The 26058-nt window shown below is 43.8% G+C and overlaps 2 protein-coding genes across 8 annotated transcripts in view, besides 2 other annotated features; one reads left to right on the top strand and one right to left on the bottom strand.

The window, feature by feature from the left end:
* Positions 1 to 2147, top strand: part of COG1 (component of oligomeric golgi complex 1) — a 15453-nt gene extending 13306 nt beyond the window's left edge. The window contains exons 12-14 of the mRNA NM_018714.3: positions 348 to 457; positions 821 to 896; positions 1954 to 2147. Of these exons, the coding sequence (NP_061184.1) occupies positions 348 to 457; positions 821 to 896; positions 1954 to 2091 (324 nt within the window). The 3' untranslated portion in view covers positions 2092 to 2147. The remainder of the gene's footprint in view (positions 1 to 347; positions 458 to 820; positions 897 to 1953) is intronic.
* Positions 993 to 26034, bottom strand: VCF1 (VCP nuclear cofactor family member 1). 7 transcript variants are annotated; one of them, XM_024451008.2, is made up of 4 exons: positions 22877 to 23256; positions 20805 to 20904; positions 6318 to 6380; positions 993 to 3408 (listed from the first exon to the last, which is right to left on the bottom strand). In XM_024451008.2, the coding sequence occupies exons 1-4, from the start codon at positions 22885 to 22887 to the stop codon at positions 3169 to 3171; spliced, it is 414 nt and encodes a 137-aa protein (XP_024306776.1). In that variant the 5' UTR covers positions 22888 to 23256; the 3' UTR covers positions 993 to 3168. The 7 variants fall into 7 exon arrangements, with proteins under 7 accessions (XP_024306776.1, NP_001276340.1, XP_047292903.1 ...); NM_001098832.2 differs by lacking the exon at positions 22877 to 23256 and adding an exon at positions 25726 to 26034 and having other exon boundaries at positions 1005 to 3408; NM_001289412.2 differs by lacking the exon at positions 22877 to 23256 and adding an exon at positions 21276 to 21353 and having other exon boundaries at positions 1005 to 3408.
* Positions 22620 to 22669: an enhancer, noted in NCBI's record as "active region_12691". NCBI's record gives its function as "activates an Ori minimal core promoter by ATAC-STARR-seq in GM12878 lymphoblastoid cells {active_cell/tissue: GM12878}" and the evidence as "EXISTENCE:reporter gene assay evidence [ECO:0000049][PMID:35858748]".
* Positions 24751 to 25527: an enhancer, noted in NCBI's record as "H3K27ac hESC enhancer chr17:71227250-71228026 (GRCh37/hg19 assembly coordinates)". NCBI's record gives its function as "activates a minimal SCP1, AML or CMV promoter by ChIP-STARR-seq in primed H9 embryonic stem cells {active_cell/tissue: H9 hESC(primed)}" and the evidence as "EXISTENCE:reporter gene assay evidence [ECO:0000049][PMID:30033119]".

Genomic DNA, 26058 nt, shown 5'->3' on the forward strand with positions numbered 1-26058 from the left:
TAGGGAGGGGAATAAGACACAAATAGCCGAGTGTAGTTATAAGGACTGAAAGAGGATTAGATAAAATCTCACACACTGAGGCAACCAAGATTTGGCCCCTTAAGTTGTAAATAAGGATTATTACAGTTTTATCCAGGCCTCAGAAAGAGGAATAAAAACTCCCTGCCTCTCAGATTCTGACCTGTGGGCAGTGATAAAAAGTAATCGTGAAGCATAAATGCACTCAGAACATTCCCCAAAATGACAGTTAGAAATACGGTAGCGATGGGTGACTAACCTTTTTTTTTTTTTTTTTGCCTTTCTTTTACCTGCACAATGAAACCTCTGCTCCACCTCTTGTCTGCCAGGTTCTGTTTGGATTGGTGACTGGTACAGAGAATCAGCTCGCCCCCCGGAGCAGTACGTTCAACTCCCAAGAACCCCATAACATCCTGCCACTGGCATCCAGTCAGATCAGGTAAAGGCTGCCAAGAGGCTTCTGCGGGGCACTTCGGGAGGCCAAGGTGGACGGATCACGTCAGGAGATCGAGACCATCCTGGCTAACATGGTGAAACCCTGTCTCTACTAAAAAAAATACAAAAAATTAGCTGGCCTGGTGGCAGGTGCCTATAGTCCCAGCTATTCAGGAGGCTGAGGCAGGAGAATGGCGTGAACCCAGGAGGCGGAGCTTGCAGTGAGCCGAGATTGCGCCACTGCACTCCAGCCTGGGCGACAGAACGAGACTCTGTCTCAAAAAAAAAAAAAAAAAAAAAATGAGGCTTCTGCTGGGCCCCAGAGCTGCCTGTTTGTGCTACTAAATTCTTTCCTCTTGTTTTGGAGGTTTGGACTTCTCCCACTGAGCATGACAAGCACTCGAAAGGCTAAATCAACCAGAAACATCGAAACAAAAGCTCAGGTTGGTGCCAAGAGCAAGAGGCTCATCCGTGGATGGGTCCCCACCTCCCACCGAGCCACCCATGATCAGCTCCCTTTTAAATAACTGATTAAGAACTGAATGACAAAATGCACTAATGCTGCTTTTAATGGCGGCGCAATAGAGAAGTACAAGGTTTTACTAGCTTGAGCTACTAGAAGGTGTAAAAGATGCCCGCTGACACTACCAAGTAGCCTCTTAATAGAAATGTAGAAAATATACAGGACAGGGTGGAGATGAGCTCTTGAATTTAGTAGGGTGAAAGAGTTAACTGCCAACCCGGCACTATCATTGTACTTGTTTGGAGAAAATCTGTTTTGTTCTGGTGATGATGGTTTTATCTTCCCTTTTAGTTGGGTGGGAAGTAACAGAAAATTTGTTTCCCCAAAAGTTTGACATTTTCTTGTTAATACACGTTTCATTTCAGTACGATGCCAACTGTTAAGCCTGCAGGAATCCTCCTGGGTATTTCTGAATTGTGCTGTGTGCATGTGTGTTTGAAAGCTCAAACAGCTTGTCTTCTTACAGCATCGAGTTGTTTGCTTTATTGTTAGACACAATATTAGCAGTGTATCCTTTCCGTATTCCCTACCATCGAACCCATTAAGATCTAAAATCCTTGTCAAGTATCTGGCTTTAAAAGTTGGGAGATGGTAGTTTAAAAAAAAAAAAAGCTCTTGCAAAAACCATCCAGTCCCTAAGCATGGGCTATGTTGCAGCCTCTTCCAGAACAGTTTCCACTGCAGTGATCTTTCAGTTCTGCCCACATTAGGTTAGCAGGCTGTGGAGAGAAGTGCCTGTGTCTACCCTTTTCCCAAGACAGTCCTCATTTCCAAATTCTAGTTTTGTCACAAAGGCTCATGCTGTTCCGTGTCCTCTTCAAATCTGGACCGACAGCAAAGTCCTCTGACTAGAGCCATCGTGCTTCTCAGCTCCGCTTGTGTGTGCCGTGTGGACTCCGAGTGGCGTCGCGCGGAGGGCGAGTGGGCAGGAGGGCTCAGGCCAACTCTAAGGCACTTTTCTCTACATCCAATGGCAGGTTGTCCCCCCGGCACGCTCCACAGCTGGTGACCCGACAGTTCCTGGCTCCTTGTTCAGACAGCTTGTCAGTGAAGAAGACAACACGTCTGCACCTTCATTATTCAAACTTGGCTGGCTCTCTAGTATGACTAAGTAACATGGCAACACATCTGTCTCTCCCTAAATAAATACTACCACATTATTTCTTCTAAAGGTGCCTCTGCTCATCTGATTCTCAGCCACACCAATCTTTCCAGTTTCACTGATGGAATGTGGCCCCCTAGTTACTGTTGGGGGTTACTTTAAGCATCAAGTTAATCCTTGTCCCAAAATTTCACAATACTTGTTGCTTTAGACATCAGTTCAGGTAGCTTACATTTTATCAGCGTTCAACAACACCTTAATTGTTGACACTACAAGGTGGAATTGTCAATGAGATCATGTAAGCTGCTGACTGACCAAGTTTGTAGGACAAAAAGTCATTACATATTACTTTACTTGCAGAACTGTGCCATGTTTCCTACTAAAGTCTGAGGTGCAGACTCTGGTGGAATAGTGACACAGAAGTTATCTGGGTATACAAGAATCTAAAAGACATTCTCTCTGGAAATACAAATATATAACAAAGAGTAGAGACTATTATTAGGGAGTGTGCTTCACTGACAGTCTGAATTGGATCTGATTGTTCTCCTGTTACACAGGAGAGAGTACTTTCAATAGAACATCTACATACTGAGAGGTAGTATGGCAGTTAATTTCAGTGCAAGACTGAATCAAGCTTCCTATATTTTGGAAAAAAACTTATGTTTTTTCATGGAAACTAGATACTCTTTACTAGTTTATTGAATAAAAAAAATTGAAGATCCCGCATTTTTAAAAGGCCCTTTACATAAAGTAGAGTTTCTAGTTGACAGATTTGGAAATCAGTCTGAATGGGACATACTATGGATTCAACACACAGAATGAGTTTTCCTCAAACCACTACCTTGACATAGATTTGATACCCTCCCTCAAAAGAATCCTATAAAAAATTGCTTCAAAGCCCCTTTGAAATTGCAATAGTGCAGCAAAACCACAAGTAAACAACTGCCTGTTAACCTGTTATTTCAAATATAGACTGAAAAGCCAACAGGCATTTTTCGTGTGCAATTTTTCTTTTAAAACAAGTTGTAAGTTGAAATATCAAATCTGCACAGCGCTGTCCCTTCACAGAAGGCAAGAAACTGCCGGCACATCATGTCAGAGGCCGCCCTCGGTGCTGTAGGCTGTGGAAGTGGGCCTCCCTCAGGGTCTGGTTGATGTGGAAGTAGAGGCCTTGGCACAGCGCGGACTGCTCGGGCACGGGCTGAGGCGTGTTAGGGCTGGATCCGGCCATGGTCTGGCTCAAGCTGCCTTCCGGCCCGCTGGCCCTGTCCGGGCTATTGATGCTGCTGCTGCTGCTGCTGCTGCTCCCACCACTGTCACTGCCTGAAGACTGGAAGGAAGAAGAAAGAAACAGGGTCACAATAAGGCTGTTTTGTTTAAGAGCTTTACTGTGGTTTCATGTACAGCGCTCTATTAAGAGTACCTTTCCAGTTCAGCTTGAGGATGAAGACATATACTGGGCTTTGGAATTGATAAAGTACGCTCTCCTAAAACGTTTCATCCTCTCCTCACAGCCACCCTGTCAGGCTGAGCAGGGTTTATTGTCCTTAATACACAGCTCTAGGAGGATGGGTCCAGTCCAGGTTCAAGCACGGGCTGCCTAACTCCAAATCCTTTCAACTATATCCTAATTCTTTTGCACATATTCTATACCTGCTTTTCCCATTCATTTCAATAATTTCCAACCAAAGAAGGCAGTTCTCAGCCTCCAAGGGAATGTATGAGTCATTGGGACAGAGTATAAAAAAGGTGACAAATAAGATGGCTTCTGGGTATAAGCGAAGATAAAAACTAAAAGCCTATGCCAATTTTGTGATCATCATAGACACAAAATGGTATTCTGTAACTGCAGGACACAGACCCTGAAAGGACTTTAATAGACTTCTGGTCAAGTTATCTTATGTTGGCATTATTGCAGTTCATATGTACATGTGTGTACATGAGCGTGCCTAACTTTTTCTTTAATGTAACTAACATGACTTGGTGTTTTAGTCATCTTGGAGAGGCTACTCGGAGATCCCTGATAAGAGTCACTTTCATTCTGCAGTTCATGTTTTAAAAAAAAAAAAAAAAAAGTCACTTTCAGAAATTCCCGCCTTCCACCACTAGGACTCTCAAAGGGGAGGGTGACACGAAGGACCCATTTCAGAATTATGGTATTTTACAATTTTTTTTGGAGACAAGGTCTCACTCTGTTACGCAGGCTCGAGTGCAGTGGATCAAGCTCACTGCAGCCTCAATCTCCTGGGCTCAAGCAATTGTTCCACCTCAGCTTCCTAAGCAGCTGGTACTACAAGCGTACGCCACCATGCCTCGTTATTTTTTTTTTTTTTTTTTTTTTAGTAGAGACAAGATCTCGCTATGTTGCTCAGGCTGGTCTCCAACTCCTGAGCTCAAGCAATCCTCCTGCCTTGGCCTCTGAAAGTGCCAGGCAGGAAAGATTACAGGCATGAGCCACCATGCCCAGCCTTATTTTACAATTTTACTATTGCATTTCTAATAAATGACAACCCTGATAACTGAATTGGCAGTACCTTTCTGTGTTTACAGTGCAATACAATATTGTATTCAGCACATGAGAAAGAATTCTAGTAATTAATATCTAGCATATAATTGTTTTTTAAAACTTAGCCGTTTAATACATCCACATTTATGTTCCCTTAGGCAAAGACATTGGTTCTGAAATGTCTGCTTACAACTAGGTAAAGTCTACACATAAGAAAAAAAAGACTGGAGGCCAGGTGCAGTGCCTCACACTTGTAATCCCAGCACTTTGGTTGGCTGAGGCAGGTGGACTGCTTGAGTGCAGGAGTTCGAGACCTGGCCAACATGGCAAAACCCCAGCCTGGCCAACATGGCAAAACCCCCATCTCCATTAAAAATACAAAAAAATTGGCCGGGTGCAGTGGCTCATGCCTCAGGAGTTTTGAGACCAGCCTAGCCAACATAGTGAAACCCCGTATCAATTAAAAATACAAAAATTAGCCGGGCATGGTGGCAGGCGGCTGTAATCCCAGCTACTAGGGAGGCCGAGGCAGGAGATCGCTTGAACCTGGGGGGTGGAGGTTGCAGTGAGCCGAGATCGCGCCATTGCACCCAGCCTGGGCAACAAGAGCAAGACTTCATCTCAAAAAAAAAAAAGGCCAGGCGCGGTGGCTCATGCCTGTAATCCCAGCACTTTGGGAGCCCGAGGCAGGTGGATCACGAGGTCAAGAGGTCGAGACCATCCTGGCCAACAAGGTGAAACCCCATCTCCACTAAAAACACAAAAATTAGCTGGGCATGGTGGTGTGTGCCTGTGGTCCCAGCTACTAGGGAGGCTGAGGCAAGAGAATCGCTTGAACCCGGGAGGTGAAGGTTGCAGTGAGCCGAGATCACGCCACTGCCCTCCAGCCTAGTGACAGAGTAAGACTCCATCTCAAAAACAAAACAAAACAAAAAAATTATCTGGGCGTGGTGGCTCGCGCCTATAGTCCCAGCTACTCAGGAAGCTGAGGTGGGGGAATCACTTGAACCTCGGAGGTCGAGGTGGCAGTGAGCCAAGATTGCACCACCGCACTCCAGCCTACGCAATCGGAATGAGACTGTCTCAAAAAAAATAAAGACTGGAAAGAAAGAACGAAATCACAGTAGTTATATTAGGATGGAAAGATTATAGCTGCTTGACTTTTTCTACACTTCAACTTTTTTGCAATGTGGTTATTATGTATTTTTATTATAAAAATGTATAAATTAAACAAAATGCTGTTTACAGATATATATTTTAAAGTGATTCTTAAAATCCTAGTTCTATCCCTTTTTTGACCAAAAATTACATCCAATAATATGCATATAGATAACTTATCTGAAACAATGAAAACAAGCAATGTTCACAAAGCTGCCATCATTAACAAGACTCAAACCAAGACTTGTGATGGTGCCGAGGCCATTGGAGCTATGGTCACATACCCCAATACCTACAGGTAGCAGGGGACAACCCCTCTTTCTAGAATAAAAAAATAAAAAAATAAAAACCTCATGAAAGGATGATAATGGGCCGGGCTGATGAAGTCAGATAGCAGGATTTGCAGCCAGCTGCAACTGTATTTACTTAGAGGCTTAAGAAGTCAAAGTCAAAAACAAAAATTGTATTCTACAAAGGCGTCTCCTAACCTAGTATAACAATGTAGAATGGCCACTTGCACCTTGCGAATCATGAATATTTAACAAACAGGTCACTACACTCAATTAGAAACCCACCGCGCAGAACGCTTTGTTTCCTCTTAGTCTGTTTTCTTTACTGTTTCTCATTACAGGTACTGTCTGAAAATCAAGGCAAGAACTACAATCAGTTTCTAGTAAGTCAAGTTTTCATCTCAAATTATATCTATTTCGTACTATAATAGCACAAGGGTGATGCTACTCTAAGAAAAGGCAAAAGTTCTTTAAACAGATTAGGGAAGATTTCTGTACATAATTTTTTTTTATTTTTTATTTTTTTTAGGGTTAGGTAGATTTGCAATTTCCAGTTCATTTAAAAAATCTTGGCTGGGCGCGGTGGTTCACGCCTGTAATGCCAGCATTTTGGGAGGCTGAGATGGGCAGATCATGAGGTCAAGAGATCGAGACCTTCCTGGCCAACATGGTGAAACCCCGTCTCTACTAAAAATACAAAAATTAGCTGGGCGTGGTGGTGTGTGCCTGTAGTCCCAGCTGCTTGGGAGGCTGAGGCAGGAGAATCACTTGAACCCAGGAGGCGGAGGTTGCAGTGAGCTGAGATCACGCCACTGCACTCCAGCCTGGCAACAAAGCAAGACTGTCTCAAAAGAAAAAAAAAAAAGTGTTTACTGGGCCTTGTTTATAATGGCTAAAAATTGGAAACAACCTAAATGTCTAATAGAGAATTGGTTTAATTATATTACATCCATTAATATACATATATGATGAAATTCTATTCAGCCATTAGCAATGATCATAGAGACATACATATACTAACATCGAAGTCTTTGGCATCATTTTTTACATCATTTCAGTTCATACTAAGCAGTATATATAGTATATCAGTTGATTCTTAAAATGTTTTTCTCAAGTGTATTCATACATATATTTATATACACCAAAAACAATCTGGAAGGATATATATGACAAAATATTTACGATTTGGATCTTCTATTTTATTTTAAAATTTATTTTCTCAAGTGTCTATCAAAAAACATTTCTTTTGAGGAAGAAACTGATAATGAGTAAGTGAACTAAAGAATGCTACCATGGGCCAGGCATGGTGGCTCACACCTGTAATCCCAGCACTTTGGGAGGCTGAGGCAGGCAGATCACTTGAGGCCAGGAGTTCGAGACCAGCCTGGCCAACATGGCGAAACCGCGTCTCTACTAAAAATACAAAAAGTAGCCGGGCGTGGTGGCGCATCCCTGTAGTCCCAGCTTCTCAGGAGGCTGAGACAGCAGAATCGCTTGAACCTGGGAGGCAGAGGTTGTACTGAGCCGAGATGGCACCACTGCACTCCAGCCTGGGTGACAAAGTGAGACTCTGTTTCAAAAGAAAAAAAAAGAATGCTACTAGGAAACCAAGTAAGGTCTTCAATTACATTTAACTTCAAAATGGAGACTGAAAAGTATTGATACTGCCAATATGATTTTGAGAAGATTGTTTCACCTTAACTACCTCAGAACTTCTAAAGCTGCTTCAGTTGTATTAACTTGCATTGAGCAGACCAATGATAGTGTTAAACTACTGAGGCTTTGGTTTCTATTTTCTGACAATTCAGACCAGTTTTCTCACTACTGTGGAGGCTTAGGGAGTGTCACACAATCTATAGATGGACCAGGATTTTTCAAATTGAGAGTGAAACCAGCATCAAATTGGTGGGTTACAACCAGCATTAAAAAAAAAAAAAAAGGACAACAGAGTGCAACATAAGGATATTGTTCTGTGAAGCTTTCTTTCAATTATTCACAAATATATTTGGTATGTACTGGGTTACAAAATAAAGCATTTCTATGGAACAGGGTCAAAAAATTTTTTGAAGTTACTGTAGTTGATCTTAACACTGTCAGCCACCAAAGTCATCTGCTTTATGGGATAAAGGAAAGACCATTCTTCACTTTTAACCCAAAAGGCATAAAACTAAATTTGAAGTCTGTATTAGTGCCTTAAGATATATACAGAAGTAAAACATTTTTGTCTCCTAAAGTAAACATCTTGAAACAGGAAAAAATCCTATTTCCCTCACTTAGTTGAAGCTTTTTAATATCAGATTGCTTGAGGGCAAAAGCCAATACTTGATGATGCACGGCTTTGGAAATGGAAACTGCTATCTTAGTAGAGAAGTGTTTACCTTGTCACATTTGTTCTCGAAAAGACACCAAATTCTTTTACCAAAAGAGAAACAAGGGTCCAAAGACTTTGGGACTGAGAAGGACCATCAAATAGGAATCCCACTCTTATGATCCTGATTCCTTACAGACTCATCAAACAGTTTAACCAAATCAACGGTTACAAAGCTCATTTTCTTTTCTCTGAATTGTCCATTTAGGCTTAGTGCTGACATGACATCTGACCAGGCTATTTTCATGACACAATCCAAAGAGAATAAAGCTGCGTGTGATCTGTGAAATAAAAACCCCTTGCAGGTCTGTGAACACAAGCAAGATAAATTTATGAAGGCTCTGGCCAAGAATCTCTCTCAACAATATACAAAGAGTCCTGTCTTGAAGATCTGTGTGAAAAAGGATTCTAGGTTAGTTTCGGTAATAATAAAACCTACCACTGTATCCTTATAACCGCAGACATCTGGGTAAGACCCAGAAGAGAACTGCCATGATACAATCTATTTTGGAATTACCTATGGGCTTTTTATTTCATTTTTTGAAACAAGGTCTTGCTCTGTCACTCAGGCTGGAGCAGTGGCATGATTACAACTCACTGAAGCCTTGACCTCCCATGCTCAAACGATCCTCCTGCCTCAGCCTCTTGAGCAGCTGGGACTACAGGCGCATGCCACCATGCCCAGCTATTTTTTGTAGAGACGAGGTCTCACTATGTTGCCCAGGCTGGTCTTGAACTCCTGGGCTCAAGATATCCTCCTGCCTCAGCCCCACAAAGTGCTAGGATTACAAGTGTAAGCCACTGCACCTGGCCACTAGGGGCTTTTTAAAGTGTAAATGCCAGGGCCCCACCTCAGCACCATGCTGGCAAAAGGAAGGTGCAGCTTGTTCTCACATCCAACCACTGGGCAAAGAAATGTTTGTGTGCTTACTATGTACAAGGCGTTCCACTAGGGCTGCTGAAGCATTCAGTAAATATTTACTGAGCTGAATCAAGAAAATGGTGGCACCATACCCATTGGTAACAACAGTTCACAGCTACTGTGGTGATGGGAATCCAGCAATGGATGCTGACTGAGTACTAGGAGAGGATCCTTAACATGAATGGTGTCTCAGCTGGGCCCAGGAGGATAAGGAAGAATTTTCACAGGCAGGGTATGACCAATGGGAACAAGAGCAAACTCAGAAAAGCAAGGTGTGGTGTGGGTGGGCCCTTGACAGGAGTGAGTGAGAGGGAAACTGCACAAGAGGTGATGGCTAGATTATCAAGAGCCATGAGGGCTGCAGGAACAGGTGGGTCCTGAGCATGGAAGACTGGCTCAGGTCTATACTTACGAGTGGGGATCCTAGGAATCTGTGGGAGATGAATGAGGTTAAGGATCTGAAAGCAGAGCCCTACTGGGAGCTTTCCTAATACAACAAGCAGGAAGGCAGGCCCAGGAGGACTGTGGAAATGACAAGGAAGGAGAACACGCACCACCCCCGAGGAGGACAGAAAGAACTCCGGAAGGAGAGGAAGAAGACATAGGGTACTCGAGCATCAGGACAGTGCTGGGCAGACAGCAGGTGTTTGGGAACTGTTTGCTGAATGGAAAGACCATTGGTGAGCCTGGCAAAAAGTTTGAATAGAGTCAAGGAGGAAGCCAGGATCCAGAGAGTAAGGGAGGGAAGGCCGATGAGAAAGTCCCAGCAGTGGCTGCAGGCAACTGAAGGTGACTGGCGGGAGGGAGAGGGAGAAGGCACACAGGAAGCTGAGGGGAAAACAAGGCAGAGAGGAGGTGAGTGGGGAAAAGAGCCCACTAGCAGGCCAGGGAAAGAAACAGTGGGTAAAAGGAATCTGAAGAGCCGAAAAGAAGGGAGAAATACTAGAAAAAGCTTTCAGGAGTCTTGAGAGAATATAGAGCAAAAAGGCAGAAGGACACACTACTCTCTTTGGCAGAAGGGCTAGATATAACTAAATTGTGAAGCAGAGGACGGGGAAGTTGAAGTTCATTTTCTTAGTCCAAAGGGCTCAAATGATACATCAAAGGGCACAGAAGCTCTGGTCTCTCAGCCAGGCCTGCCTTTCATTTTATTTTTCCAGTGTGCAAAGTCAGTTTAAGAGACAACTCACTTATACCCATGGCAGAAACTAAACAACTCCAAACACCATTTCTACTAATAACCTTAAGAAAGCACCCCCACCTCAGACAGAAATATTAATCACTAAGCCATTCCACTTCATAAAAAGAGAGCTATGTGTATATTATCTAGAACCAAATGCTTTCTCTTCTTAATTTGAAAAGCAGGGCTGGGCCCAGTGGCTCATGCCTGTAATCTCAACACTTTGGGAGGCCAAGGCGGGTGGATCAGTTGAGGCCAGGAGTTCGAGACCAGCCTGGCCAACATGGTGAAACCTCATCTCTACTAAAAATACAAAAAACCAAAACAAAACAAAACAAAAATTAGCCAGCCATAATGGCAAGCACCTGTAATCACAGCTATTTGGGAGGCTGAGGCAGGAGAATCGCTTGAACCCAGGAGATAGATGTTGCAGTGAGCTGAGAATGTGCCACTGCACTCTAGCCTGGGGGACAGAGTGAGACTGTATCTCAATTAAAAAAAAAAAAAAGGCCAGGTGTGGTGGTTCATGCCTGTAATCCCAGGACTTTGGAGGCCCAGACAGGTGGATCACGAGGTCAAGAGATCGAGACCATCCTGGCCAACATGGTGAAACCCTGTCTCTACTAACAATACAAAAATTAGCTGGGCGTGGTGGCGTGCACCTGCAGTCCCAGCTACTCGGGAGGCTAAGGCAGGAGAATCACTTGAATCTGGGAGGCGGAGGTTGCAGTGAGCTGAGATCGTGCCATTGCACTCCAGCCTGGCGACAGAGTGAGACTCTGCCTCAAAAATAAAAAATAAAAAATAAAGGCCAGGCGCAGTGGCTCATGTCTGTAATCCTAGCACTTTGGGAGGCCGAGGCAGGTGGATTGCCTGAGGCAGGTGGATTGCCTGAGCTCAGGAGTTTGAGACCAGCCTGGGCAACATGGTGAAAACCTGTCTCTACTAAAATACAAAAAGTTAGCCGGGCGTGGAGGCGTGCGCCTGGAGTCCCAGCTATTTGAGAGGCTGAGGCAGGAGAATTGCTTGAACCCAGGAGGCAGAGGTTGCAGTGAGCTGAGATCACGCCACTGCACTCCAGCCTGGGCGACAGAGCGAGACTCTACCTCCAAAAAGAAAATAAAAGATCAATGTAGTATTTTATTTTCTGTCAAGCCCCAGCTTCCCCTTACCTCCATCCCCTCTTTCAATGGTGCTTTCAATTAATGTGAACCTTAAAAGAGGAATCTTACCCATAGTATATACTCCATCTCTGGAGTCATGATGAAGCTCATTTTCATTCTAAGGCTGCCACAGAATCTGGATTAAATGCAAGAGATGATCCCAGCCAAGTCTATCAGAGCATCTAATGTAAAATTTTGTGCTTCCAAAGTGTCCAATAATTTCAGAAAACTTCAGATCTACCAATATTGGTGACACAAGATTCCAAATGAACTCAGTGGGTTAATTAAAACCACTTTATAAATAAGCAAGGAAAGAAAATGCAGGTGATAACTTTTCTGTCTCCATGAATAAATAACATCCTTTCTATACCTTTGTTACCCTTATAAGGTGAAACTGGACCACACAATGTGTTTAAAGTTCCTTCTGAATGGAAATACTGTATTATTAGTATCACTTTCACTTTGTTTCCATTTCAACAGGCCAAAAAATAAGGCCCAGCAGTAGAAAAAGATGTGTATGTGTATATCTTCAGTACTTAATAACAGATTTTAACATTCTGTTTCAATAAGAAACTGCTGCCGGGCGCGGTGGCTCACGCCTGTAATCCGAGCACTTTGGGAGGCTGAGGTGGGCAGATCACCTGGGCTCGGGAGTTCGAGACCACCCTGACCAACATGGAGAAACCCCGTCTCTACTAAAAATACAAAAAATGGCCAGGCGCAGTGGCTCACGCCTGTAATCCCACCACTTTGGGAGGCCGAGGCGGGCGGATCACGAGGTCAGGAGATAGAGACCATCCTGGCTAACACGGTGAAACCCCGTCTCTACTAAAAATACAAAAAAATTAGCCAGGCGTGGTGGCGTGCGCCTGTAGTCCCAGCTACTTGGGAGGCTGAGGCAGGAGAATGGCATGAACCTGGGAGGCGGAGCTTGCAGTGAGCCGAGGTCATGCCACTGCACTATGGCCTGGATGGCAGAGCGAGACTCCGTCTCAAAAAAAAAAAATACAAAAAATTAGCCAGGTGTGGTTGTGCATTGCCTGTAATCCCAGCTACTCGGAAGGCTGAGGCAGGCGAATCGCTTGAACCCGGGAGGCAGAGGTTGCAGTGAGCCAAGATTGTGCCATAGCACTCCAGCCTGGGCAACAAGAGAAAAACTCCGTCTCAAAAAAAAAAAAAAAAAAAAAACGACGAAACTGCTTGGGGTAGCTTAGTATGCTGTGAATTGAGGTATTTACAAACATATCAAGGACTTAAACTGTAAGCAAAGTAAATGTATTCTATAAATTAGACTAACAGCACTGTTCCTCCCTTTTGAATGGATCTTTTAAGAAATTAATCTCGGCTGGGCGCGGTGGCTCATGCCTGTAATCCCAGTCCTCTGGAGGCCGAGGTGGGTGGATCACGAGGTCAGGAGATTGAGACCATCCTGGCGAACACTGTGGAACCCCGTCTCTACTAAAAATACAAAAAAATTAGCCGGGTGTGGTGGCAGGCGCCTGTAGTTCCAGCTACTCGGGAGGCTGAGGCAGGAGAATGGTGTGAACCTGGGGGGCAGAGCTTGCAGTGAGCGGAGATCACACCACTGCACTCCAGCCTGGGCAACAGAGCGAGACTCTGTCTCCAAAAAAAAAGAAAAAAGAAAAAAAAATGAAATTAATCTCAGGCCAGGCATGGTGGCTCATGCCTATAATCCTAGCACTTTGGAAGGCCGAGGCAGGTGGATCACGTGAGTCCAGGAGTTCGAGATCAGCCTGGGCAACATGGTGAAAACCTGTCTCTACAAAAAGAATATAAAAATAAGCTGGGCATGGCAGTGCGCGCCTGTAGTCCCAGTTACTCAGGAGGCTGAGGTGGGAGGATCACCTGAGCCTGGGGAGGTCAAGGCTGCAGTAAGCCATGATCATACCACCACACTCTAGCCTGGGAGACAGAGTGAGACCCTGTCTCCAAAAAAAGAAAAAAAAAAAAAACAAAACTTAATTTCAGAGTTAATTTGCTACAGGGTTCTAAACACACAATCCTAACAGTTTCACTGAAAAGAGTCGGCCAAATCAGTCTGTCTCTTAGAATGTATTAATACTACAACTCTAAGACGGATTAAAGATGAGAATGGGCAAGAATGAAGAGCTTAAAATAACATTTAAAAAAATTATTCTAAATACTCCTATTGTCATATGAATTCACATTATTTTTTAAAAAATCACCCAACACTCAGCTAATTCTTATCAGTTAAAACAAATGAATTTATAGACTCCTAACTTTATGATAAATGGATCCCCTGGTTCTATTCTTTTTTAATTTCTCACACTTCCGCATTCCCACTAAGAATTCCCTTAGGATTTTAATATTAACATCAAAAATTTTGCCTTCTAGTAGAGACAAAGGGGCTGAAGCTGTCCTAGGTAAGCCACTTCTTTTTTTTGTTTTTTATTTTGAGATGGAGACTCGCTCTGTCACCCAGGCTGGAGTGCGGTGGTGCGATCTCATCTCACTGCAACCTCCGCCTCCTAGGTTCATGTGATTCTCCTGCCTAGGCCTCCTGAGTAACTGGGACTCCAGGCATGCACCACCACGCCCAGCCAATTTTTGTATTGTTAGTAGAGACGGGGTTTCACCATGTTGACCAAACTGGTGTCAAACTCCTGACCTCAGGTGATCCACCTGCCTCTGTCTCCCAAAGTGCTGGGATTATAGACATGGCCCGGCAGCCACTTCTGTTTTATCTCCACATTTTTTCACTCTCTATCTGATATTACTTCACACTGGTCTAAAAAATCAAAATGGTCTTGTTAAGCTAAGTTAAAGGTATTAAAAAAAATTGAGGTCTTTGTACTTTTAAAAGGTATTGCTTTTTTTTTAATTTAGATTTTTTTTTTTTTTTTTTTTTTGAGATGGAGTCTCGCTCTGTCGCCCAGTCTGGAGTGCAGTGGTGCAATCTCAGCTCACTGCAACCTCCGCCTCCCGGGTCCAAGCAGTTCTCCTGCCTCAGCCTCCTGAGTAGCTGGGATTACAGGTACGCGCCACCACGCCCGGTTAATTTTTGTATTTTTAGTAGAGACGGGGTTTCACCATGTTGGTCAGGCTGGTCTCGAACTCCTGACCTCGTGATCTGCCCGCCTTGGCCTCCCAAAGTGCTGGGATTGCAGGCATGAGCCACCGGGCCCCAGCCAAATTTAGATTTTAATTTCTTCCCTCCTAAGGATGAGAAGATACTGCTTTTATTTACTCAAGTAGAAGCACTTTTTACAAGGCATATACCTAGGTAACAGAAGCTAGATTTACACAGAAACTTCTAGTGTAATTTGTAGATAAAGATATTAAAACTGAAAGTAAAGAACATTACTCCTTCTACATGTAAATAATAGAATTCAACCTAAAAAGACTAGACCCTAAAAAAAAAATTTAAGTTAAATCTAAGTAGTTTTTACCCATCCAAATAGTTGCCCAAGATCAGGATTTGATAGAAAAAAATTGATAAAATCATTTCACTTCTTGCTCAGTGAAGAGAAAACTGAGCCTGAGATAGATGTTAACTAATGTGATTCATCTAGAATGGCTTTACACGAAACAAAAAATTAGGCTGGGCATGGTGGCTCACACCTGTAATCCTAATACTTTGGAAGGCCAAGGTGGAAGGATTGCTTGAGCCCAGGAGTTCAAGATCAGCCTGGACAACATGAGGAGACCCCCATCTCCACAAAAAAAATTTTAAAACTAGCCAGGTGGGCCGGGCGCGGTGGCTCACGCCTGTAATCCCAGCACTTTGGGAGGCCGAGGCGGGCGGATCATGAGATCAAGAGATCGAGACCATTCTGGCCAACATGGTGAAACCCCGTCTCTACTAAAAGTACAAAAATTAGCTGGGCGTGGTGGCGGTCCCCTGTAGTCCCAGCTACTCGGGAGGCTGAGGCAGGAGAATTGCTTGAACCCTCCCCAGAGGCGGAGGCTGCAGTGAGCTGAGATGCGCCACTGCATTCCAGCCTGGGGAAAGAGCGAGACTCTGTCTCAAAAAAAAAAAAAAAAAAAAAACTAGCCAGGTGTAGTGGCGCACACCTGTAGTTTGGGAGGCTGAGCAGGGAGGAGTGCTTAAGCCCATGAGTTCACAGCTGCAGTAAGCCATGACAGCACCACGGCACTCCTGCCTAGGCAACTGAGCAAGACCCTGTCTCAAAAAAAAAAAAAAAATTAAATTAGTAAATACTTCAACTTAAAAAAATAGTATTCTAAGGCTCATAAGTCATTAAGTCCAAGTTACTGGAGTTAAAATTCAAAGTCTTCAATTCAAGCACTAATCAGAGATTTGGAAAAAAAAAACACAAGACCACATTTTTGTTTTTTTTCTTGCTAGAAATCTAAAATTGCTTTATAGCTAAGATCATATCATGCCATGTACTTGGAAAAAACAGCTTCTAGATAAAAAGAGAAGGAAAATTGTTCTTCTCTGTTCCTGACTCAAAACAAAACTAGGGCTGGGCGCGGTGGCTCACGCCTATAATCCCAGCACTTTGGAAGGCCAAGGCGGATGGATCACCTAAGGTCAGGAGTTTGAGACCAGCCTGGCCAACATCGTGAAACCCATTTCTACTAAAAATACAAAAATTTGCTGGGCGAGCTGGCGGGTGCCTGTAATCCCAGCTACTCAGGAGGCTGAGGCAGGAGAATCACTTGAACCTGGGAGGTGGAGGTTGCAGTGAGCTGAGATCATGCCACTGCACTCCAGCCTAGGTGACAGAGCGAAACTCTGTCTCAAAAAAAAAAAAAAAGAAAAAAAAAGAGAAGACTAGGCTCTAGCTGCTCCTGGATATATTTAGCAAAGTCTCGCAGAACCTCTGTTCTATCTTCTGGGAGAGCACACACCATGGTCAGGAGCGTGCAGCCCAACAACCACACCCTGGGGCTCCGTTCCTCCTCTGCCTCTTACTAGCTGTGTTCTTTGGACAAGTGACTATTTTTCTGTGTGCCAAGTTTTCCATCTGAGAAGTGGAGATAATAATACCTACTAAAACAGGCTGGGCACGGTAGCTCACGCCTGGAATCCCAGCACTTTGGGAGGCCAAGGCAGGTAGATCACCTGAGGTCAGGAATTCAAGACCAGCCTGACCAACATGGAGAAACCTTGCCTTTACTAAAAATACAAAATTAGCAGGGTGTGGTGGCACATGCCTGTAATCCCAGCTACTCGGGAGGCTGAGGCAGGATAATCGCTTGAATCCAGGAGGCAGAGGTTATGGCAAGCCGAGATTGCGCCATTGCACTCCAGTCTGGGCAACAAGAGTGAAACTCCCTCTCAAAAAACAATAAACAATAAAAAAATAAAATGGGGGAAAGAAGCCATTTATGCACACATTAATTTATGCACACATGAAGTTTCTCTCTATATAACTAATCCGGCAAATCAGTTCACATTATTTAGCTTTATAGTATCTAGGAAAGAAGAGGCAGATACTATTATCTCCACTGTACAGATAGTTGTGATTTACTTGTGGCACAATTTAATGGTTTAACATAAATAAAACACCTCACATATTTCCTAGTACTCGCCATTATTATTGTACTTAAGCAAAAAGGTTAACTTTTAGAAATGAATTGTAAGTAACTTTTAAATCTCTCTTAGAATTAAAAAAAAAATTCCTCATGAAGTTCAAGTTATAAGAAAAAGAATTCTTAAACAGCCAGGTTAACAAAAAAAAGAAAATAAGAAAAAGAATTTGGCCAGGCCCAGTGGAGGAGGGTCAGAGGCCAGGAGTTCAAGACCAGCCTGGGCAACACAGCAAGACCCTGTCTCTACAAAAAATTAAAAAAATTAGCCAGGTTTGGTGGCACATCCCTGTAGTCCCAGCACCTCAGGAGGCTGAAGAGGAAGGATCATTTGAGCCCAGGAGGTTGAGGCTACAGTGAACCATGATCATTCCACTGCACTCAGCTTGGGCAACAGAGGGAGCCCCTGCCAGAAAGAAAAGAAAGAAAGGGAGGAAGGAAAGGAGGGAGGGAAGAAGGGAGGGAGGGAGAAAGGAAGAGAGGAAGGAGGGGAAGAGAAGAAAGTGGAGGGGAGGGGATGAGAAGGTAGGGGAGAGAAGGGGAGGGGAGAACAGAGGGAAGGAAGGAAGGGAATTCTAGCCAGGCATGGTGGCTCAAGTCTGTAATCCCAGCATTTTGGGGAGGCTGAGGTGGGAGGATCGCTTGAGCCCAAGAGTTCACGACCAGCCTGGGCCATATAGTGAGACGTCGTCTCTCCAAAAAAAAAAAAAAAAAAAAAACCTTAAAAAATTAACCCAGCATGGTAGCATGTGCCTGTAGTTCCAGCTACTTGGGAGGCTGATGTAGGAGTATTGCTTGAGCCTGGGAGGTAGAGGTTGCAGTGAGCTGAGATCACACCACTGCACTCCAGTCTGGGTGACAAAGCTTATTCATTCAGGGAAAACATAGGAAATGGTTTCTCTTACATAACTTAAGTTTCAAGGAAACTGACCTCATGGCCCTACCTCAGAATTAAAAGAAAACATTTTCATTAGTAATGTTATTAATAAAATATTTTGTCTAAATTGTTAATATAATTAAAAATGAATTGTTTTATTTTCCCTTTTATACACAATCATCAAAAACCAGCCAAATGTCCCTAAACTTGATTTTTTGCTGCTACAAACATAATCATTTATTCCAGTAGTGAAAACTTCATTATTTGGGGCTTAACTTTCCATTTTAAAAGATATTCCCTCTGCCTTTTGCTTCTCTGGCTCTCTCATCATTCACTTGTCCTTGTTACTTGTTAATACCACTGCCAGGAAGCACAGCGCAGCACAGCACAGCACAGCACAGGACAGGACAGGACAGGACAGCACAGGACAGGACAGCACAGCACAGGACAGGACAGGACAGGACAGGACAGGACAGGACAGGACAGGACAGCACAGCACAGCACAGCACAGGACAGGACAGCACAGCACAGCACAGCACAGCACAGCACAGGACAGGACAGGACAGCATAGGATAGGACAGGACAGGACAGCACAGGACGGCACAGCAGGCTATTCTGGTCAATGTTCAGTAAGCAAGGCTGAAACTAATGGTTGTAACACCCCATTAGGTGATCTACCAGTGAGTTCAGACAGAAACTACCAGTAATGACCTTAAACGATAAGGAAGACAATCTAGTCCTTCCTTCAGATAATGATTACGGAGTGGCTCAACAACTGAATTTCTTTGGACAAGTAAGGACAAGCTCAGCTAGAGAACCCAGGAGGTTGAGTAACAAGACGTTGTTTTCTTCTGTGAGACCAATGCACGGATTTTAGAAAGAGAGTAAAGGTCATTTTGTACCAAAAACTAAATAAATAAATAAATAAAATTTAAAAATCTACAATATCTGCCTTACTTAAGAGATCAGAAATGTTAATTTTTTTAAAAAAGGATGACAATTTCTTTCTTTTTTTTTAACCAAGAGACAAAAGCAAGAAAAAGATGGCAATTTCTATTGCTGTTCTCAGGCTTCAAAACTGGCAGATACGGGAAAAAAACGTTAATACAGAGAGTTAGACCTACCATACCCTTGACTGAAATGAACATCATATAGCAGGACTTACATACAGACACAAGTAAGGAAATACTGATGGCCAACACCATAGAAGTAATCTTTGCATACTCTTTTAATGAATAGTCTTACAATTCAAAAGAATGGAAACTCAATTACTATTACAGGGTTTTATCATTAGATATTCATGGTAGCCTCTAATCTTGTTTTCTTTCATCCCTGAGATTCCCAACTATTACATTAAACAAAGCTCAATTACCTTTCTGATAATCATTTTTTAAAAAGAAAAGAAAAAAGCAAATAGGAAAAAAATATATATATATATAATATATATATATATATATTTTTTTTTTTTTTTTTTCTGAAACGGAGTCTTGCTCTGTTGCCCAGGCTGGAGTAAAACGGCACGATCTCAGCTCACTGCAACCTCTGCCTCCTGGGTTCAAGCCATTCTCCCACCTCAGCCTCCCAAGTAGCTGGGATTACAGGCGTGCACCACCACACCCAGCTAATTTTTTGTATTTTTAGTAGAGATGGGGTTTCACCATGTTGGCCAGGCTGGTCTCGAACTCCTGACCTCGTGATCTGCCCACCTTGGCCTACCAAAGGGCTGGGATTATAGGGATGAGCCACTGCGCTCGGCCAGGAAAATATTTGAAGAGGAAAAACAGCTATAGAAACTCAGGTCTCCACACAGAAGGATTCTACTCTGCACTTGTTCACTGTCTCTGAATGACTGTTACCTACATGAAAGTTCCTGATTTTTCCCCCTTGGGGGAGTTACTTTGAATTGCTGGCAAAGACAGACTGGATATAGGTCAAATCCTATTATCAGGAACTAATTAAAGTACAAATTATTTGGGTGTGGGAGAATTCTACTGTGAGTTATGAGGCTAGGGCTCTTTGTTGTTGAGGCTTTTCTCTTAGTGTGACAACTGTTAAGGGTCAAAATCTCTAGGTGCATAACTTAATAGCAGCATTACTTTATATTGGTTTCCTTTCCCCAGCACAGAGCAGCCTTCCAATTGCACAGAAAATGTATCCTCAGTCTGCGTACTGAAGCACTCTTTCATGAAATCAAAAATTGTAAAAAAGTTCCAGAACACCCAACTCCCCTTCCCTCTCACCACAGGAGCTCTTTTCACAACAAGATAATGAAAAGTAAAAACACTGAGAAATGGGATTCTGCATACACATACCTTACATATTTTACATGCTTAAAGTTTCTCTTAAAAGGCATTTGAATTGAAGCAACAAAATATGTTTATCTTAAGGACAATTCATGGTTTATAAACTACCAGAAAAGAAGTTCGCTGCTGAAATACAAAACAGTGAGTTCAAACATAGGCTTTCAAAAAGCCACGAAATTTCTAACAAATACAAATGAGTGTGTACATATATGACTATGTGCACATATGTACTGTTTTGCTGGGGACAGGGTACACAGCTTCCTCAAAGGGACCCTGATTTGGAAACAGAAAGGTTAAACCAGTATAATCAACTAAGGTCATTTTAAATTACTGTTTAAGTAAATTTAATTACACAGCAGATACTAGGTTATTTAACTCAAGCAGTGAAAACAACAGACTATGTGACCACACTTCCTACCTCTGTGTCCCAGGAATCCTGAAAGACAGGGTTTCTGCTACTTCTTTTGGTCTGGGGGGGAAGATGGTTGTCTTCTTCGTTGCCATTCCTTCTCCTTTTCCTGAAATTAAATCACAAGGAGAAAAAAAAAAAAACCCAAACAACCGATGTTTTGGACACTTGAATTGCAAACCATAACAACATATAAATTTGCCCTCTGGCCTGAGAAAACATAATTCAGCATATGATATCCCAATAGGTTATCAGTTGGAAGTACAGCATCACTGGACACTAAGAGCAAAAATACAAGACAGCAGCAGCGAGGTCAAGCTTAAGTTAGTAAAACTCATTTCTAAAAAGAAGCTTAACAATTTTAAATGTCTGTTGGGACTGAAACAAGAACAGGAAGAGGTTAATGACTAAGCTTTCAACCTCTAACCTAATTAAGGTTTTCTTCTTTTTACACTCCCTGAAATTAGGATTCCGAGTTACCTAATTGTACTCCCTTCCATATGACAACATTTGATATAAGAGTGGCTGCCTTTGCCTATTTGCCCTGAAAACCCTTATAAAAGTACCTCTTGGTCACATTCACCTGCTTATTCTGGCAACACTAGCCGGTATTATGATATAACAATTACTTCACTAGATTGTTACTATGAGATGATAGCATAAGCTGCTTAAAATTTCCAGGTTTAAAGAAAAATCACACATCTTTCTTAGGCAAGTGTTCTCGGACATGCAAGAAAGACCAAATTTGCATGTACTCTATTTAAGAATTATGTGCTGTCAAAACGATTTCTGAACCTGTTAGAAAACAGAAATAAATTAAAGGAGGTATAATTTTCAGTCAAATTGCCCGGAACTGTACTGTCCAATACGGTAGCCACTAGCCACATATGGTTATTTACATTTAAATTAACTAAAATTAACCATCCAGTTCCTAGGTCACAGCTGCCCTGTTTCTAGTGCTCAGTGGCCACGTGTAGCTAGTGGCTACTGCACTGACCAGCACAGATAAAGGACATTTCCGTCACTGCAGAACGTTCTCCGGAGCAGCACAGGCTAGAGGTCTGTATGTACATGGCAGCAGCACCTATTACAAAACCCTTGAAGTTTCAGCTTTCTATAGTTAAGAGACAAAAGGCTAGTGTGGACACACAGCTCTTGGAAAGCATGTACATTTGGAGGATATAGTGTCTTCTAAATAATTATACACTTTCTATGAGAGTAGGGTGGCTTACAGTGGCAGGCCTTTAATCCTAAAGGTTTTGAGTTGAGGTTTGAATATTAGAGAAAATAAATGATCACCCTAAGCTCACTTCTCTGTACTCTGCAACATTCTGAATAGGTCTAACTTTAATAATGAGTATGGATCCCAGCTTAAGTTTGGAATAATAAAGAGTGTGTGGTTCTGATAAAGCTTCAACCATCCTGCACTGGGCTATGTAATTTACTTCATTCTAAGACATTTCTGCTCCCCACCTTTCTCTTAGGAGATCAGATCTTAGCTGCACATTACTTTGAAGTAGTTGGAGGTTAAAAAAAAATAGATGAATATCAGGTTTTAATAATCATTAAATGGGTGTGCTTTTATCATAAATTTGAACCAAGAAACTGCTAATTTCATCCTAATATGATCAGGGAATTTGAGTGGGAGTGTTCTGCAGAGGCAAAGCAATGTCTGCTGGGAGGCCAGTCGACACCCAAAGAGAAAGTCATTGAGTAAGTAGCAGCTGCTGGTCCTCACACACCCATTTTATCAGCGTGCCAACAGCTGACTGGGCTTTGGGCTGCTGAGTCACTCTAACCAAACTTAGGAGCCTGATCAAAATTTGCTATCTCCTCATTTATAATGGGGGATAGATCTTTCCAGGGACAAGACTATGAATGTCAAGGAGGTTGCATGGCAGAGGGACTGTAAGAACAAAAAAAGATGAGATGATTTTGTGGATTTCAACTAATCTCTGGGAGAGTCACATGAAATATCCCTGCCTCATAAATTACTTGATCTCTCAAGGCACCAGAATAATCTCTTTGGCCTGTTGGTAGCCTTCTCCTCTGGATGGTACCAGATTAAGAAAGAGTCCTACCTGCTCTTCATTTGCCTTTTTCTAGGCTCTTAGCAGATCTCATCCTTGAAACATTCTTCTTTCAACAATGGTGTTAACAACTGGCAAGATTACAGCTTCATGCTCATCCCTATCAGTTCAATCAATCAGATTACAATTTTTGGCATTAATGCCACAGACCAGGTTATGATTTTAGCAGGCACCCCTATAACTGATTATATTCTTCCCTAACCATCTAGGTGCAGATTACCAGTTAGCATCTGTTACTTCTACAGATGGTTGATTCCATCACGTTGCATTATTTCATTTCTCTCCAACCTTCCTGTCATCTCCTAGAGACTCGGCATAGAAATAATCTTAAGAGTATGGGCTGGGCACGGTGACTCACACCTGTAATCCCAGCACTTTGGGAGGCTGAGGCAGGCAGATCACTTGAGGTCAGGAGTTCGAAACCAGCCTGGCCCACATGGTGAAACCCTGTCTCTACTAAAAATACAAAAGAGTTAGCAGGGCGTGGTGGCGTGTGCCTGTAATCCCAGCTACTTGGGAGGCTGAGGCAGGGGAACTGCTTGAACCCAGGAGGTAGAGGTTGCAGTGTGCCGAGATCGCACCACTGCACTCCAGCCTGGCCGACACAGTGAGACTCCATCTCAAAAAAAAAAAAAAAAAAAAAAAAAAAGAGTATGGAAACTAGTGGTTTTCAAACTTTATTTTAAAAAGTAACAGAACTCTTTCTTTCTTACTGTAAAAAAATTCTCTCTATATAAGAGATAAAGGATCTGTTAAAGTAGGGACTCCCAGTCTGGTGAGGTGGCTCACATCTGTAATCCCAGCACTTTGGGATGCCGAGGCGGGTGGATCCCTTGAGCCCAGGAGTTCAAGACCAGCCTGGGCAATATAGTGAAACCCCACCTCTACCAAAAATACACAGATTAGCTGGGTGTGGTAGCTCACACCTGTGCTCCAGCTACTCAGGAGGCTGACGTGGGAGGATCACCTGAGCCTGGGAGGTTGAGGCTGCAGTGAGGCATGATGGGGCCACTGCACTCCAGCCTGGTCGACAGAGTGAGACTCTGTCAATCAATCAGTCAATCAATCAACCAATCAATCAATCAATAAGCAGGGACTCCCTCACTACACACTCACCTCTCTGCGGCTATCCAATCTACTGTGGGAGAGCCTGAAAACCCTTTTTTTTTTTTAGATGGAAGTTTCGCTCTTGTTGCTCAGGCTTGAGTGCAGTGATCTCCGCTCACTGCAACCTCCGCCTTCCAGGTTCAAGCGATTCTCCTGCCTTAGCCTCCCAAGTAGCTGGGATGAAGGTGCCCACCACCAGGCCCAACTAATTTTTTTGTATTTTTAGTAGAGACAGAGTTTCACCATGTTGGCCAGAGTGATCTCCAACTCCTGACCTCAGGTGATCCGCCCGCCTTGACTTCCCAAAGTGCTGGGATTACAGGCGTGAGCCACCGCACCCAGCCGAAAAACCACCGTCTTAGACCATCCTAGAGCTGGCAGAGCTGGCCCATCATACTCCATTAAACACTGGCAGGAAAAGCCTGTCCAAATCAAATAACTTCTTTAAAACATGTTGAGATTATTTGTGTACAAGATAAAAGGAATCTACTGCCAGTATAAATGCATTCAGATTAGTTATGTACAGTAGAATTTTTATTTGTAGGAAATATTTAGATTTTTTTTCAGATATGTGAGACACCCCAAGAGAATATCGTAAGTATAAACTGGGTTTGGGAAAGAATAATATGGCAGTCGGGTCAGATTCACTGTATCTAAAGATCTTGCTCCTAATTCCGATGGCATGTCTGTAATTGGGCCCCCAATTTCAAATTTAGTCCACTCTTCTTTTCTATACAAGGAGAGGCTTTATGCTCCACCTGCTACATGACCCAAATCAATAATCCAATGCAGCAGCTTGGGGAACCCTAGGTTTTCACTATGGGACCAAATAAACTCAGAATACTTTTGAGAACTTCAATCACATGAAATAATTATTTCAGAGAAGGATCCTTGTGGAAAGACCGTAACAGGAAGAGCATTCTGAGGTAACCTTTCCCAACTTTCTCCTCCACACATTCTTGCAGAGGAAATTAAGAGAGAGAAAAAAATTAAGAAATCCCAACTTAGTCCGGACTCTAGTAGTACATGTCAAGCACAGAACCCCTAATTTAAGACCCGCGTCCCGAGGCCAGGCTCCCTCGGGAAGGTAGCGAGTGCATCGCGATAAAATCTTTCCTCCCGCCTTCGGAGTCAAACGGCCCCGCAATCCAAACAGTTTAGAATCCAGCTTGTTCTTAATGCCACAGTCAAGAGAAGATCCATAACCCGCCTTGGTCATCTGCCCTTCTGTGTTCACAACCGTTCAGGGCACAAGTTCTTCGGTCTAACCGAATCTTTCCCTGCTGCGGGGTTAAGCCCAACCTTTCTTTCTGACCTTGGGGAGCCGGCAGCTCCCCGCCCGGTGCCCTCACAAAAGCCTTTGGGGGCTCCCTCTCCAAGATGAGACGTTTATCCCATCCCCCCACCCTCCTAAATTTAGGACAGGAAAGCTTTAGGGCCACCGTCTCTCTTCCGGGACCGATCACACTTCGTTCCAAATAGGAAAAGACAGGGGGGAAAAAAGATGGAGGGGCGGGAGACCTGGACCCCGGAGAGTCACCTTCCAGCTACCCACAGGAACCAAGCATCCGATCACTCGCGCATCCCTCTCCCCTCCTCCCCCGGCCCGCAGTGCACCCCACAGGGAGCCCCGCCGGGTCCACTCTTGCTCCGACCCCCATTTCGCGCGCCCCCTCGGCTCTATCTCCCAGATCCTCAGGCGACGAATGGAAAGGGGGTCCCTTCCCTCTCACCTGGGACGGAGGCGCTCGCTCATGGCAGCTGGCGGATGGAAGCTACGCGGCGCCGCTCCGCGAAGAGAGGGAACAGAGGGGGTTGTGTTTCGGCGGCCGCCACGCCCACCCCCTCGGGCCTTGGCTCTCGCAGCCGCTCGGGTGGACGCAGCCGGTGGCGAGTACCCCTCAGTCGGACCCGTACCACCACTACTTCCGGCGTCTGCTCCGCGCCCCCCCATGTCGCTGCCGCCGTGGTACCGCCCTCTCGCGGCTGCGCAGTGGCACCATCCCAACCGCACCGACTGGTAACCCCGCCCACGGGAAGAGGCGGGCTCGGAGCGGGAGGAGCGA

This window comes from Homo sapiens, chromosome 17 (genome assembly GCF_000001405.40).
Source record: "Homo sapiens chromosome 17, GRCh38.p14 Primary Assembly".
Taxonomy (NCBI): Eukaryota; Metazoa; Chordata; class Mammalia; order Primates; family Hominidae; genus Homo; species Homo sapiens.

Excerpts from the sequence above, each read along its gene's own strand:
- VCF1 (NM_001098832.2), bottom strand. The coding sequence starts at position 25,946 with ATGGGGGGGCGCGGAGCAGACGCCGGAAGTAGTGGTGGTACGGGTCCG. Across the intron at positions 6,381-20,804 it reads AGGATTCCTGGGACACAGAG|ACAGTACCTGTAATGAGAAA; the intron begins GTAGGAAGTGTG and ends CTTGATTTTCAG. Across the intron at positions 3,409-6,317 it reads GAAACAAAGCGTTCTGCGCG|TCTTCAGGCAGTGACAGTGG; the intron begins GTGGGTTTCTAA and ends TCTTCCTTCCAG.